General features: G+C 37.1%; 2 protein-coding genes across 22 annotated transcripts in view, besides 1 other annotated feature; one reads left to right on the top strand and one right to left on the bottom strand.

The window, feature by feature from the left end:
• FAM200B (family with sequence similarity 200 member B) overlaps positions 1-10170 on the bottom strand; it is a 53657-nt gene extending 43487 nt beyond the window's left edge. Inside the window, exon 1 of the mRNA XM_047450112.1 lies at positions 9718-10170. The gene's annotated coding sequence lies outside the window, so the exon portion shown is untranslated. The remainder of the gene's footprint in view (positions 1-9717) is intronic.
• FBXL5 (F-box and leucine rich repeat protein 5) overlaps positions 1-15942 on the top strand; it is a 77189-nt gene that overhangs the window by 34609 nt on the left and 26638 nt on the right. For 11 of the 21 annotated variants that reach the window (XM_047450056.1, XM_047450055.1, XM_047450050.1 and 8 more), the window contains 4 exons: positions 2253-2468; positions 6078-6173; positions 8267-8453; positions 10285-10467. In XM_047450056.1, coding sequence (XP_047306012.1) covers positions 2253-2468; positions 6078-6173; positions 8267-8453; positions 10285-10467 — 682 coding nt within the window. Of the gene's footprint in view, positions 1-2252; positions 2469-5333; positions 5438-6077; positions 6174-8266; positions 8454-10284; positions 10468-15942 lie in introns of all 21 variants that reach the window. The other 10 variants (XM_047450059.1, XM_011513831.3, XM_047450058.1 and 7 more) reach the window with 4 other exon arrangements.
• Positions 11192-11388: a silencer, noted in NCBI's record as "fragment chr4:15637196-15637392 (GRCh37/hg19 assembly coordinates)". NCBI's record gives its function as "represses an EF-1alpha promoter that drives an FKBP-Casp9 reporter gene in an ReSE screen in phorbol 12-myristate 13-acetate-treated (for megakaryocytic differentiation) K562 erythroleukemia cells {active_cell/tissue: K562(+PMA)}" and the evidence as "EXISTENCE:reporter gene assay evidence [ECO:0000049][PMID:32094911]".

Here is a 15942-nt window from a genome sequence, read left to right as displayed (position 1 = left end):
GTGAGCCACCATGCCCAGCCTTTTTCAATCCACAGTTGGTTGAATCTGTGGTTTCTGCATCCCCACGGAGGCTGACTGTGTTTACTTTTTGCCATTAAAAAAATAATATCTAGAAGCTGGAAACCATCATTCTCAGCAAACTGTCGCAAGGACAAAAAAACCAAACACCGCATGTTCTCACTCATAGTGGGAATTGAACAATGAGAACAACATGGACGTGGGAAGGGGAACATCACACACCGGGGCCTGTTGTGGGGTGGGGGGAGGGGGAGGGATAGCATTGGGAGATATACCTAATGTTAGATGACGGGTTAATGGGTGCAGCACACCAACATGGCACATGTATACATATGTAACAAACCTGCACGTTGTGCACATGTACCTAAAACTTAAAGTATAATAATAATAATAATAAAAAATATTTAGCATTAATGGTTTCTTTTGATTTTGTACCCTGCTTCTACTAAGGCTATTTTTAAGTTTGCCTTTTTTTTTTTTTCCAAAAAATGATACATGATAGTGTTTGCAGAGATTAGCCACCAATAGATTTTATTGTAATCTTGTGGGGCATTTCTTATGATTTAAAAAAAAATCTATAATATGTATTTAACCAAGTATGTCCTGCCTGTGTTTTTTGTGTGGCTTAAGAGCCAAGCATCACTTTTACATTTTTAAATAGTTGGAAAAAATCAAAAGAAGAATAGTATTTTGTGACATGTGAAAAATTATATGAAATTTGAATTTCAGTGTTTATAAAGTTTTATGGAAATACAGCTACAGTCATTCATTTACATGTTGTCTATGACTACTTTTGTGCTACAACTGCTGAGGTAAATAATTGCTACAGACCACATGGCCTGCAAAAGTTAAAATATTTATTACCTGTCCTTTTATAGAAAAGTTGCCAATTCTTGCTCTAGATTATTTACTTATGTATTGCAGTTAACTGTTCATTGTCTTATTTACCTTCACTGAAATGGAAACTCCATAAAGGCAAGAAATCTTTGTTTTGTTCATTGATATATCCCAGGTACCAAAGAACAGTGCCTGCCTCATCATAGCTACTCAGTAAATATTTGTATAGAGTAAAAAATGTATGAATTTATAAAAAATGAATATTTAATTTTCAAAATGATAATAGCTAATGTTTATTGAGTACTAACAACCATGTGAAATACAGATGTTTTATTATATCCATTTAACATCAAGATTAACACATTAAGAAAGAAAAGTAGGCCGGGCGTGGTAGCTTATACCTGTAATCCCAGCACTTTGGGAGGCCGAGGCGGGTGGATCATGTGGTCAGGAGTTCAAGACCAGCCTGGCCAAGATGGTGAAACCCCATCTCTGCTAAAAAATACAAAAATTAGCCGGGCGTGGTGGCGAGCACCTGTAATCCCAGCTACTCAGGAGGCTGAGGCAGGATAATCGCTTGAACCCAGGAGGCAGAGTCTGCAGTGAGCTGAGATCATGCCCCTGCACTCTAGCCTGGGCGACAAAGCAAGACTCTGTCTCAAAAAAAAAGAAAGAAAGAAAAGTAACTTACCCAGGGTTACACAGTTAAGTAATGGTAGAACTGGTATCCCATCCTAGAGAATGTGACTTTAAAACTGGTTCACTATGACTCTTAAAATGCATAATCCGCACTACTTTTTATAGAAGATAGTTAATTCTGTTATGTATAGTAGGAATAATTTTGTTTTAGGAGCTTCTATGTCATCTGTTTTGATGCTCTGTCATCAGACCGTCATTCCTGCTGATAATAGGCAATAAGACAGCTTAGATTATGTTCCATTTTAGGAATACTAGATACTTTAGAAAGCAAGTCTAGGAGGTATGGTGTTAGTAGCTTTTCCCCTTTCATCTACCCGTCTGTTGTATTTAACCTAATCAAGTTTCCCTCTTTAAAATTTCTGCCTGCCTGTATTTAGCATACATATAGAGTAATGAAATTTTAGGTTTAGAAGGGGCCTGGTTTAATCTCTTCTCTTTAAAGAAACCGTGATTTGTGCACATATCATTTTTCTGTGTCACCAGGCCCTCCAGAATGCAAACCAACATCTTCCTGGCCTAGTGCACTTTTTATTATACCATTATAACTTGTTAATTTATGAATTTCTTTTATTTGTACTTTAACCAAGTGTAAGGGAAGTATGCTGTGTGCAAAAGTGAATAGGGATGTATTTGAATATTTTTTATTTGTGCATATTTGCACGTATTTATTACACTTTTCTTTTTAAATTTTTATTCAGCTTTCTAAAACCAATTTTTCCAACAACAACGATTTCCGTGCTCTTCTGCAGTCTTTGTATGCTACTTTCAAGGAGTTCAAAATGCATGAGCAGATTGAAAATGAATACATTATTGGTTTGCTTCAACAACGCAGCCAGACCATTTATAATGTACATTCTGACAATAAACTCTCCGAGATGCTTAGCCTCTTTGAAAAGGGACTGAAGAATGTTAAGGTAAGTTGCAAAAATGGATATTCAACTGTCAAAACTTGTGCCATCTTCTGGTATATCATTGGCAAAACTTGTCACTGTTTTATAGTAAATGATGTAATGTTGAAAAAAATTATTTTGTCACTTGTTAAAGATGGCAAGGAAGACTATTTAAAAAGAACTACTGCAGTGGGGAGTTTGCAGTAGTGGAGAGAGATCAGTCCCGACGGTGAATACAGTAAGGACAAGTAGGGATTTATATCCAAGGGGCAAAGTGGGAAGAGTGGATGGAAAACTACTGAGGAAACATCAAGGCCAAGGGGATTCTTGCTAGACTAACTATAAAATTCTTGCTGAAGGCAAGAGGATAGTAACATATTGAAGGATCAGTAGTTTGATTAGATGTAGATGCAGATCAGATACTAAGGCTGAGAGATTTTTCACTAAACCAATTCAGCAGGATTTTTGCTGAAACTGGACTAAGCCGAACAAGAACAGAGTATAAGGTCAGGCCTAAGTTGAGAAGAGGGCCCAGAGGAGCCTGACTCAGGTTTGGTGAGAGTCTTCATCAGTTACCTCTTTATTACTGTTTAATAAAATTTTATAATGAATGCTACTCACCAAGTCTGAAAGCTGTTTTTGTAAGTCGAAGTTTTAATTATAAAATTTTTACATTCTGTTAACATTTGCTGAATTCTTAAAGGAAAGCTATCCAGTTAATGGTGACCAAAGGTATAATTATTACTTAGAATGAATAAACACTTTAATTTTATAAATTTTTACTTGTTTTAGAATTGAATACCAGCCAGGTGCAGTGTGCAGTGGCTCACATCTGTAGTCCCAGCACTCTGGGAGGCCGAGGCTAGTGGATCACTTGAGGTCAGGAGTTCTAGACCAGCCTGGCCAACATAGTGAAAACCTGTCTTTACTAAAAATATAAAAATTTAGCCAGACATAGTGGCAGGCGCCTGTAATCCCAGCTGAGGCAGGAGAGTTGCTTGAACCTGGGAGGCGGAGGTTGCAGTGAGCTAAAGATATTACTGGGTATAGTTTAGGATAATGATGTAGAGAGACTTTCTTCTTAATTACATTTACATATTATAGGATTTTGAAATTTGATCTTAGTTTATTTCCCTTCTGGCTTGGTGAAGCGTAAGCTTAAGTTACAACTCTGTTAAGCCACCATGTGCTCCTCACCTGGAGATTTATGTTCTGGAAAGGCTGTTCTACAGCTTAGGGAGGATGGATTAAAGATAAAGAAAAGACTAAAGGAGGAAGACCATTATTAAAAAATTATTCTAATAGTTTCTGGAAGAATACTTAGTAGCTACTTGGTGGGGAGGTGTGGGAGGTTTGGTTGGGGTAGGGTACTAGATAGTAATATTAATAGAAGGGAGATTTACTTTTTTATTGAATATTCTTTCGTATTCTTTGAATTTTGTATCATATTATGTATTGCCACATGAATACACCTTCGACAAATCTGAACTAAAGTCATGACTAGTAGAAATAAAGGGGAGGGGATCAGACTTGAGAATTATGTAGGAAATAAAATTGATAGAATGTAGTGATTATACTTAAAGGGAGGATGAAAGAAGAGAAAAGAAATAAAAATGAGGATTCAGCCTGACTTTCTAGAGTATATAGAAGAGGGTCAGGAAATAAAAAAGATTCATTCTTGACAGATTAGGTTTGAACTGCTTGTGTAATCCAGATGGGCATTTATGAATAGGAGGTGGTAAAGATGGATTTCATGGTCAGAAGAGTGACCCAGTATGAAAAAGCAAATTTGATAGTTATTATTAGCATATAAGTAGGAATGGAAGCCATGTGGATATGCTTAGGGAAAATGTGTAAAGTCGTAAGAGAACAGGACATTAGACTGAATATTGGGAAGCAGTTGAATAAATTAGTTCTGGAAAAAGAGACCAGAGAAGACTTAACAGAGATAAAATATTTTCATATTTTAAAAGTTTTCATAGGCTGGGCATGGTGGCTCATCCGTGTAATTCTAGCATTTTGGGAGGCTGAGGCGGGCAGATCACTTGAGGTCAGGAGTTCGAGACCAGCCTGGCCAATGTGGTGAAACCCCATCTCTACTAAAAATACCAAAAAAATTAGCTGGGAGTTGTGATGGGCACCTGTAGTCCCAGCTACTCAGGAGACTGAGGTGGGAGAATCGCATGAACCTGAGGTTGCAGTGAGCTAAGATTGCACCACTGCATTCCAGCCTGGGCAACAGAGCAAGGCTTGTCTTAAAAAAAAAAAAAAAAGTTTTCATTATTTTATAAATTTTCCACATGCTTTGAGAGGGCTGATATAGAAGTGGGGAAATGTGATTTTAGGTTATGAGGAAGAAGTTTATAGCTCCTTAGAATTGCCCAGAATTAGAATGAGTTACTTCAAGATATAGTGAGCACCTTGCCTTTAGAAGTGTTGATATTGATATATATGACCTTACATCAAATAATTTTTTCTTTTTTTTTTTTAAGACAGAGTCTTGCTCTGTCACCCATGCTGAGGTGCAGTGGTGCAATCTCGGCTCACCGCAACCTCCTTCTTCCAGGTTCAAGCAGTTCTCCGTGCCTCAGCCTCTCGAGTAGCTGGGATTACAGGTGCCCATCATTACACCTGGCTGATTTTTGTATTTTTAGTAGAGACAGGGTTTCGCCGCGTTGGGCTGGCTGGTCTTGAACTCCTGACCTCAGGTGATCCGCCTGCCTCTGCGTCCCAAAGTGGTGGGATTACAGGCATGAGCCACCGTGCCTGGCAGGATAATGTTAACAGGTACAGTTGACCCTTGAACAACATGGGGATTAGGGTTGCCAACACCCTGTGCTGTTGAAAATCCACGTATAACTTTTGAATCTCTCAAAACTTTACTTACAGCCTACTACTGTTGACTGGAAGCCTTACCAATAACATAAAACAATCGAATAACAATTATTTCATGTATTATATGTAAAATATATATACTGGATTCTTACAGTAAGGTAAGCTAGAGAAAAGAATGTTACTAAGAACATCATACGGAAGAAAAAAATCTATTCACTATTTATTAAGTGGAAGTGGATCATCATAAATGTCTTTATCCTCATTGTCTTCACATTGAGTAGGCTGAGGAGGAAGAAGAGGTGGGGTTGGTCTTGCTGTTGCAGGGGTGGGAGAGGCAGAAGAAAATCGGTAATTAAGTGAACCCGCACAGTTCAAACCTGTGTTGTTCAAGGGTCAACTATATTCTGAGTTTTTTAGTGGAGGAGACACTAGATGACCATAAAGGGATTCTGTAATGATACAGTCCATTAGGCTTGGAGATACATTAAGAGAACTGACATGTAGAAATTATATAAATGTATATAATTTATATATACATCAATAAAAGCTGTGGGCAGATACGTGCTATTTTTAGACTTTTTATGATATTTTAAAAATATGGGGTTACATACATTACTAAAGTAATTCAAAGCTTACTGTTTTATGGGTATCTTTTATGTTAAAAGTACAGAGACCACTTTGCAATTTGTCTATTTTTTTTTCCCCGGAGGTTTTATGTCACATTTTAAACTTCCTGGGACCAGACATAATTAATGAAGCGAAACTTTTATAAAAATGTATTTTTTTTTTGGTTTCCAGAATGAATATGAACAGTTAAATTATGCAAAACAACTGAAAGAGAGATTGGAGGCTTTTACAAGAGATTTTCTTCCTCACATGAAAGAGGAAGAGGAGGTAAGCATAATTTTTCTTTCGTGATTTAGATTTATAACATTCTTAAAATACTATTTTGCTTTAGAGACTCTTCAAAATAATGCATAGGAAGATGTATCTGGTTGATGGAGAGAAGAACGCAGTTCTTTTTGGGAAAAAAGAAAACCCAAGGGAAAAAAAAAACGTTTGTTTTGTTTTCTCAGAAAGGTTGTTGCTTTTCATTGAATAGATGATTTAATTAATTTACTCAGGAAATATTAATTTTCTTTTTTGTAAATGGCTCTGTCTTAAATATTAATAACTTATGCTACCCTAATGTCTTTTCAGAACCTTTAGAGGATTCTTTAAACTTTTAAATATTTTTTTGTTTTCATGCTATGTTTAAAGATTTTTTCATGTTTTTTTTTTTTTTTTTCAGTAGTGTAGTTTAGTATTTAAATGGTGGCTTTAAATGTATTAGTCTTGGCTGGGCATGGTGGTTCACGTCTATAATCCCAGCACTTGGGAAGCTGAGGCAGGACAGAGGATTGCTTGAACTCACGAGTTCAAGACCAGCCTGGGAAAAATAGCAAGACCTCATGTCTGCTAAAAATTAAAAAAATCAGCTGGGCATGGTGGCATGTGCCTGTCATCTCAGCTACTTGGGAGCTTGAGGTGAGAGGATTGCTTGAGCCCAAGAGGTTGAGACTGCAGTGAGCCATGATTGCGCCATGGCACTTCAGCCTGGGTGACAGAGCAAGACCGTGTCTCCAAACAAATAAACAAAAACATTTATTATCTTAAGCCTACTGTACATGTATTAGGGTATCATTGAATGAATGGGCAAAACGTTTTCCCTTTTTCTTCTGTCTCTAATATGGGATGAATATCAGAGTAAGAAATAGATAAATTATTTTATGAGGAACGGAATACCTGTTCAGCTGTAAATCAGTTATTGTAGTGATTCTCAACTATAGCTTCACCTTATAATCAAATTGATATTTAAACAAACAAACAAAAGAAACCCCGATAGTATTTTAAGACCTTTTCAGACAAATTACATCAGAGTTAAATCAGAGGACATGCATTGACCTGGGTATTTTTTCAGGGCCCCCCAACTCATTGTAATATACAGCCAGTGTTGAAACCACTGAATTTCTAGACTGACCAGTGTTTTTTAACTGTATGATATCCATCACAATTATCTGTGGAAGTGAAAACAAAACAAAAAAAGCCTTGTTTCCAACCTCTAAAGATTCTAATTCTGTAAATTGGAGATTGAGACTAAGCATCTGTTTAGCAGAAGAAATCTCCATAGATAATTCTTGTAGGAACCACTGTTCTAAAATAATGATTTGAGGGAACATTTCCAAAATCCAGAAACAATATTGAAAAGTTAAATGTCTCAGTAGAGTTCTGACTTTTATGGTTCCACTACACTGGGTACTACTCTCATGTGAGGCAGAGGCCCTGTTTGGGTGGAGTTCAGTTACTCTAGTACCAGAAGGCAGTTAACTGACCTAAACATCTAACAGAATGATTAAGAGTGACAAATTCTATAAAGGGAAAGCCTTCTGGTCCTTATGCTTTAAAATTGTTTTGGATTGATTTACTAGCTGGAGAAACCATAACAAGAAGGATTTATTTTATTTATTTATTTTTCTGGAGACAGAGTTTCGCTCTTGTTGCCCAGGCTGGAGTGCAATGGCGCAATATCGGCTCGCCGCAACCTCTGCCTCCCAGGTTCAAGTGATTCTCCTGCCTCAGTCTCTCGAGTAGCTGGGATTATAGGCATGCGCCACCACGCCCGGCTACTTCTGTATTTTTAGTAGAGATGGCGTTTTTCTATGTTGATCAGGTTGGTCTCGAACTCCCGACCTCAGGTGACCTACCCGCCTTGGCTTCCCAAAGTTCTGGGATTACAGGTGTTAGCCACCGCGCCTGGCCAGGATCTTCTTGGTGTACTCTTCTCTGCAATTTTTAGATAAACTAACTCAGTGGTGACAGCTAAAATTTTTATCTTTTTGAGATATATGGTCATAATACGACATTCGAGCCATTAATAATTTAAAAGGGTTTAGAGTAAATCAACACGAATGAAGCATCTTTCCTCGTGAATATTTTGTTTAATTTAGGTTTTTCAGCCCATGTTAATGGAATATTTTACCTATGAAGAGCTTAAGGATATTAAAAAGAAAGTGATTGCACAACACTGCTCTCAGAAGGATACTGCAGAACTCCTTAGAGGTCTTAGCCTATGGAATCATGCTGAAGAGCGACAGAAGTTTTTTAAATATTCCGTGGATGAAAAGTCAGATAAAGGTGAGATTCATATATATAAAGAACAATTTATTAGTTGTAAGGTCATTGACATCTTACTGATATGAACTGTAGATTTTGGTTGAGGAATAATTCAAGTTAGGCCTGCACTGTGGTCAGTTAAAGGCATTATTTTCATGTATCAATTTAATTGAAGACGATGGTTCTCATTTTAGAATTTAGTGTTGTGCATGATAATTTAACATATACTTGGGACATATTCAGTGTAGTGTTTCTTGAATAAATTTATATATGAATGAATCAAAATTATTGAAAACCACCAGTACAGAGCACTGGCCTGCTCAAAATCGATCAGTCAAAATTGTTGAAAACTACCATTACACAGAGCACTTTTGCGATATCATCCTGCTTCCTGAGCTTTATTGACCATAGTGGCTGCTTTTCTCTTTCCTTGTGTTTTTTTCATTGGTTTTCAAAATTAGTTATGTTTATAGTTTATTTTCATCCTTTCCTATGTATTATTTTTTCAGCTTGTATCCAGTAATATTCAGAGGAATGAGTACTAGAGGCAGAGTTTTTCTGTATTGTTACTCTGAGAATACAAATGAGAAATGCAAATAAAACGTGCTGCCTTTTTTTTTTTTTTTAAAAAAACTAGTTCCTCAGTAATTATTTATGTTCAGTAGCTTTGCTTCTTCAAGATTAGTGGCAGCAGTGGGATTTCTGTTAAAATAGCTTGGAGTTTTTTGAAATTGGTCCTTTTATTTTTATTTAACAAAGTAGGTGAAATGCATGTTGAAACTAAAATAATTTTACAAGTTAAGCTATAATTAATCCCGTAAAGCTTATATGCCTTACTATGAAATGTAGCTTGTGCTTTAGATACCAAGCTAAGACTTGTTATGTCTGGTTTAATTGTAATTATAACATGGGATTTAAAAGCATCACACTTATTACATTTTATTTTCCCACTCCTTCAAAGCAAATTGTAGCTGTATTATATTTAAAATATTTGGCAGTTTAAAAGTGGTAGTTTAAAGAATGTGATCATAGCATTTCTATATTTAAGTTGCTTTGTGAAACAAATCAGATATATAAAGTACTCAAATTCTTCATAGGACTTTAGTGATGAATCTTTTATATTTTTTATTGTAACACTTCATTTTCATTTTTATTTTGGAAATTATTACTGAAATAATACATTATAGGTTTATACATCCATAAGTACTTCCTGCAATAGTTGCTGACAAAAGTTTCATTATCAATGTGAAAGAACATCAGAAATATCTACATTTTGTCGTCTCACCTGCAACATAAATAACTGAAGTAGTTTAAAGCATCTCTAGGTTAAGGCAGTCAGATTTCGCAGACCTCTTGTATGAAATGTGAAAATCAAAGAGGGAATACAAGCAAGATTATTGACAGGAGTCATAATGCATAAATGGAAAAGGTCATGAGATTTGTGTGTGTCATTAAAAATGCCTTGGAGATCTCATAATCTGGCTGACTCTATACTTGTTGATTTAAAGCTGTATAACCTGTTTTGTTCCTTTTTCAAGTGATGCTGCTTAATGCTACAAAGTGAGTATTGTTTTTTCTGTGATGCCTTTGTAAGAGGAAGTTAATTCTGTGTTCATTATTGTAGCTCCCACTGATGAAGTATGATTTGGGCCATGATAGTTTAACCCTACTGGTTCTTCACAAGTTTAACATCCCCATGTTACCTCTAATACATGTTATTTCATTTTCACATCTTGCAAGCAGGAAGGAATTGACTTCAGGCACTGGATTTTGTTTATAGAAATGTAATTGTAATTTCTTATTGCATATGCTCTTTAGCCTTTACTGGTAAAGTTTTTCTTTTTTATTTCAGAAGCAGAAGTGTCAGAACACTCCACAGGTATAACCCATCTTCCTCCTGAGGTAATGCTGTCAATTTTCAGCTATCTTAATCCTCAAGAGTTATGTCGATGCAGTCAAGTAAGCATGAAATGGTCTCAGCTGACAAAAACGGGATCGCTTTGGAAACATCTTTACCCTGTTCATTGGGCCAGAGGTAGGTAAATGGGTTTTTAAAATATTTTCATGTATTTTTCTAGATGAATATTCATTTACATTAATGAGCAAGGCCAGAGAGAGAAACTCTGAGAGGTCAATCAAAAAGTAGATTTTATAGTTAGATGATGTTTTGGTGGTATATATTTTTGGAAAACTAGCAGTGATGAAATTCATGGGTAAATTATAATGATGTCTGTAATTAAAAAAAATTAGGAAAATATATTTGTGGGAGGGGATGCAAAAAGATTGACAAAATTGATAATTATTGAAGATAAGTGATAGATACATGGGGATTCATTATACTAGTTCTGCTTTTGACTGTTTTTCAGAATTAAAAGTTAAAAATTCAATTAGTAAGCTTTCAAAACTGCTTTAAATAATTATGTTTAATAATAATTATATGAATATTTTTAAAATACAGAATAAATTCTATAAAATTTAAGGGTGATATACCATTATGGCTCCATTTTGGTGATGGCTCAAAATAATTGTGAATCTGTTTTTGCCTTTGACCTATCTTTATTTGATTGGTAATGCCACATTCTCTGAATCACAGTTTCATATTAATATCATTATAGTAAATTACTTTCACATGTGAACAGTTAAAGAAAATTTTCTTTTCATCAACATATAATGCAGTTATGGGTTAAATACAACTAATATAGCATACATTTTTTCTGTCACTGAGTTAAAACAATTTCTGCTAGGTGAGTTTTTTTTTTTTTTTTTTCTTTTTTTGAGGCAGAGTTTCGCTCATGTTGCCCAGGCAAGAGTGCAATGGCGCGATCTTGGGTCGCTGCAACCTCTGCCTCCCAGGTTCAAGTGATTCTCCTGCCTCAGCCTTCCAAGTAGCTGGGATTACAGGCGTGCACCACCACACCTGGCTAATTTTGTATTTTTAGTAGAGATGGGGTTTCATCATGTTGATCAGGCTGGTCTCGAATTCCTGACCTCTGGTGATCCACCTGCCTTGGCCTCCCAAAGTGCTGTAATTGCAGATGTGAGCCACCAGACCCGGCCCAGGGGAATATTAGCTTCAAAATTTACATAATTTTTAAAAATTGTTTTCTGTTTATGACTTTATGTCTGATTTAAATCATGAGTCTGATTTAAAAGCAATTTTATTCATTATAATAATGTATAGCACTTTTTTTTTTTTTTGAGATGGGGTTTTACTCTCACCTAGGCTGTAGCTCAGTGGCACGATCTTGGATCACTGCAACCTCCACCTCCCAGGTTCAAGCGATTCTCCTGCCTCAGCCTCCCAAGTAGCTGCGATTACAGGCATCCGCCACCATGCCTGGCTAATTTTTTGTACTTTTAGTAGAGACGGGGTTTCACCATGTTGGTCAGGCTGGTCTTGAACTCCTGACCTCAGGTGATCCACCCGTCTCGGCCTCCCAAAGTGCTGGGATTACGGGCTTGAGCCACCGTGCCCGGCCACGTATAGTACTTTTAAAATAAGCTGTTAGATATTTTTTTGAATGAAGCTATTTGAAATATTAGGTAGACTTATATCGTCTAAATAATTAGTTGTTATGTGGGATAATTTTTTCTGTTGTAGGATAATGAAATATTTAGTAAAAAGGCAAACATGGATGCAGAAAATATTTTTTCTGGCTTAAAAATTTTTAATTTTTAAGAATTATTAAGAATTATGTCACGATTTGATAGGAATGTCAAATGTGATAATGCTGTGCTTTCATAAATTCACCTAAATCTCAAATATACTGCTTTTTTCTGTTTTTAATATGTTAAACAAAAAGTTCCAATAAGCCTGGGCAACATACAGAGACCTCATCTCTACTAAAAAAATAAAAAAAATGGCCGGGCACAGTGGCTCACACCTGTAATCCCAGCAGTTTGGGAGGCTGAGGTGGGTGGATCACCTGAGTTCAGGAGTTTGAGACCAGCCTGGCCAACATGGTGAAACCCTGTCTCTACTAAAAATACAAAAATTAGCCAGGTGTGGTGGCAGGCACCTGTAATCCCAGCTACTCGGGAGGCTGAGGCAGGGAGAATTGCTTGAACCCGGGAGGCAGAGGTGGCAGTGAGCTGAGATGTGCCATTGCACTCCAGCCTGGGCAACAGAGTGAGACTCCGTCTCAAAAAAAACAAAACAAAAAAGAAAAAAAATTAGTCAGACATGGTGGCACATGCCTGTAATCCCAGTTACTTGAGAGGCTGAGGTGGGAGGGAGGATCATTTGAGCATGGGAAGTCGAGGCTGCAGTGAGCCATGATCACATCACTGTACTCCAATCCGGGTGACAGAGGGAAGACTCTGTCTTAAAAAGAAAAAAAAAATCAATAGAAATCGGTTTTTATTTATTTATAGTATGTGCTTTGAGTGGTTCTCAATCAAATTGATTTTTCCCCCTTCCAGGGGATATTTGAAATATCTGGAGGCATTTTTGTTTGCCCCATCTTTGGGTATCATATTGGCATCTAGTAGGTAGAGGCCAGGGTTGTTGCTAAGCACCCTATAATCCACAGGACAGCACCCAAAAACAGTTACCCAGCCCAAAATGTCAGTATTGTCAAGGTTGAGAAGCCTTAATTTAGATGTAATGTTAAGAGTTCAGTAAATTGGCCAGGCACGGTGGCTCACGCCTGTAATCTCCTAGCACTTTGGGAGGCAAAGGCAGGCAGATTGCCTGAGCTCAGGAGTTCGAGATCACCCCGGGCAACAAGGTGAAACGCTCTGTCTACTAAAATACAAATACAAATAAATTAGCCAGGTGTGGAGGTGCATTCCTGTTATCCCAGCTACTTGGAGGCTGAGGCACAAGAATCACTTCAGTCCAGGAGGCAGAGTTTGCAGTGAGCGGAGACTGTGCCATTGCACTCCAGCCTGGGCGGCAGAGTGAGACTCTGTCTCCAGAAAAATGAGTTCAGTAAATTGATTCCGCATAATCTCTCATTTCATGATCATATAATTTAGTTGCAGTACATTCTCCAGGATCTATAAATTTATAGTTTAGCTTTACATTAATCTTTCCCTTTGCTTCTGTTCCCATCTACTTCTGAACTGCTGACTGGTTGACTACAGAGTAGACAATCCTGCTTCCTTTTAGTTATTAGCTGTTATCATAATGAGGCTATTGTGGGAACCAGTGTGAAATGACAGCAGGGGAAATTGTTTGCTCATCGTGATTTCTAAAATTTTATGCAAGACTTGATAATCATTAAGCTTATTTCTATAAAAAAGTTGAAAAACTTTTTGTATAGAAAGTAGATACATAGCAGGTACATAGCAGACTCTGTACATTTTTGTAGTTATTATTCTGTTTCCATAGTTTGAAAGAGAAAGATTTACTTTGGGAAAATATGAACTTTGGTTAATTGATTATTATCGTTAATCGAACCCACCTGTCATAGTTCTTCTCAGTGTGTCTGAAATGGAATCCTTTGCTTATTTCAGTGTAACTTTTTTTAACCATAATTAAATATTTCTAAAAAATTGCCCATTGCCTGGGCAAAAACTGGAAGCATTCCCTTTGAAAACTGACACAAGACAAGGATGCCCTCTCTCACCACTCCTATTCAACTTAGTGTTGGAAGTTCTGGCCAGGGCAATCAGGCAGGAGAAAGAAATAAAGGGTATTCAATTAGGAAAAGAGGAAGTCAGATTGTCTCTGATTGCAGATGACATGATTGTATATTTGGAAAACCCCATCATCTCAGCCCCAAATCTCCTTAAGCTGATAAGCAACTTCAGCAAAGTCTCAGGATACAAAATCAATGTGCAAAAATCACAAGCATTCTTATACACCAATAACAGAGAGCCAAATCATGAGTGAACTCCCATTCACAATTGCTACAAAGAGAATAAAATACCTAGGAATACAACTTAAAGGGATGTGAAGGACCTCTTCAAGGAGAACTACAAACCACTGCTCAACAAAATAAAAGAGGACACAAACAAATGGAAGAACATTCCATGCTCATGGATAGGAAGAATCAGTATCGTGAAAATGACCATACTGCCCAAGGTAATTTGTAGATTCAGTGCCATTGCCATCAAGCTACCAATGGCTTTCTTCACAGAATTGGAAAAAACTACGTTAAAGTTCACATGGAACCGAAAAAGAGCCCGCGTTGCCAAGACAATCCTAAGCCAAAAGAACAAAGCTGGAGGCATCATGCTACCTGACCTCAAACTATACTACAAGGCTACAGTAACCAAAACAGCATGGTACTGGTACCAAAACAGAGATATAGACCAATGGAACAGAACAGAGGCCTCAGAAATGACACCACACATCTACAACCATCTTCTTTCACAAACCTGAGAAAAACAAGAAATAGGGAAAGGATTCCCTATGTAATAAATGGTGCTGGGAAAACTGGCTAGCCATATGTAGATAGCTGAAACTGGATCCCTTCCTTACACCTTATACAAAAATTAATTCAAGATGGATTAAATATTTAAATGTTAGACCTAAAACCATAAAAACCCTAGAAGAAAACCTAGGCAATACCATTCAGGACATAGGCATGGGCAAGGACTTTGTGACTAAAACACCAAAAGCAATGGCAACAAAAGGCAATATTGACAAATGGGATCTAATTAAACTAAAGGCTTCTGCATGGCAAAAGAAACTACCATCAGGGTGAACAGGCAACCTACAGAATGAGAGAAAATTTTTGCCACCTACCCATCTGACAAAGGGCTAATATCCAGAATCTACAAAGAACTTAAACAAATGTACAAGAAAAAAAAACAACCCCATCAAAAACTGGGTGAAGGATATGAACAGACAGTTCTCAAAGGAAGACGTTTATGCAGCCAACAGACACATGAAAAAATGCTCATCATCACTGGTCATCAGAGAAATGCAAATTAAAACCACAATGAGATACCATCTCACACCAGTTAGAATGGCGATCATTAAAAAGTCAGGAAACAACAGATGCTGGAGAGGATGTGGAGAAATAGGAACACTTTTACACTGTTGGTGGGAGTGTAAATTAGTTCAGCCATTGTGGAAGACAGTGTGGCGATTCCTTAAGGATCTAGAACTAGAAATACCATTTGACCCAGCCATCCCATTACTGGGTATATACCCAAAGGATTATAAATTATGCTACTATAAAGACACATGCGCACATACGTTTATTGTGGCACTATTCACAATAGCAAAGACTTGGAACCAACCCAAATGTCCATCAATGATAGACTGGATTAAGAAAATGTGGCACATATACACCATGTAATACTATGCAGCCATAAAAAATGATGAGTTCATGTCCTTTGCAGGGACATGGATGAAGCTGGAAACCATCAGTCTTAGCAAACTGTCACAAGGACAGAAAACCAAATACCGCATGTTCTCACTCATAGTTGGGAATTGAACAAAGAGAACACTTGGACACAGGGTGGGGAACGTCACACACTAGGTCCTGTGGTGGGGGTAGGGGACTGGGGGAGGGATAGCATTAGGAGAAATACCTGATGTAAATGATGAGTT

Source organism: Homo sapiens, chromosome 4, assembly GCF_000001405.40.
Source record: "Homo sapiens chromosome 4, GRCh38.p14 Primary Assembly".
NCBI lineage: Eukaryota > Metazoa > Chordata > Mammalia > Primates > Hominidae > Homo > Homo sapiens.
Note: the sequence above shows the minus strand (reverse complement) of the source record. Positions and strands in the feature narration are given on the sequence as shown.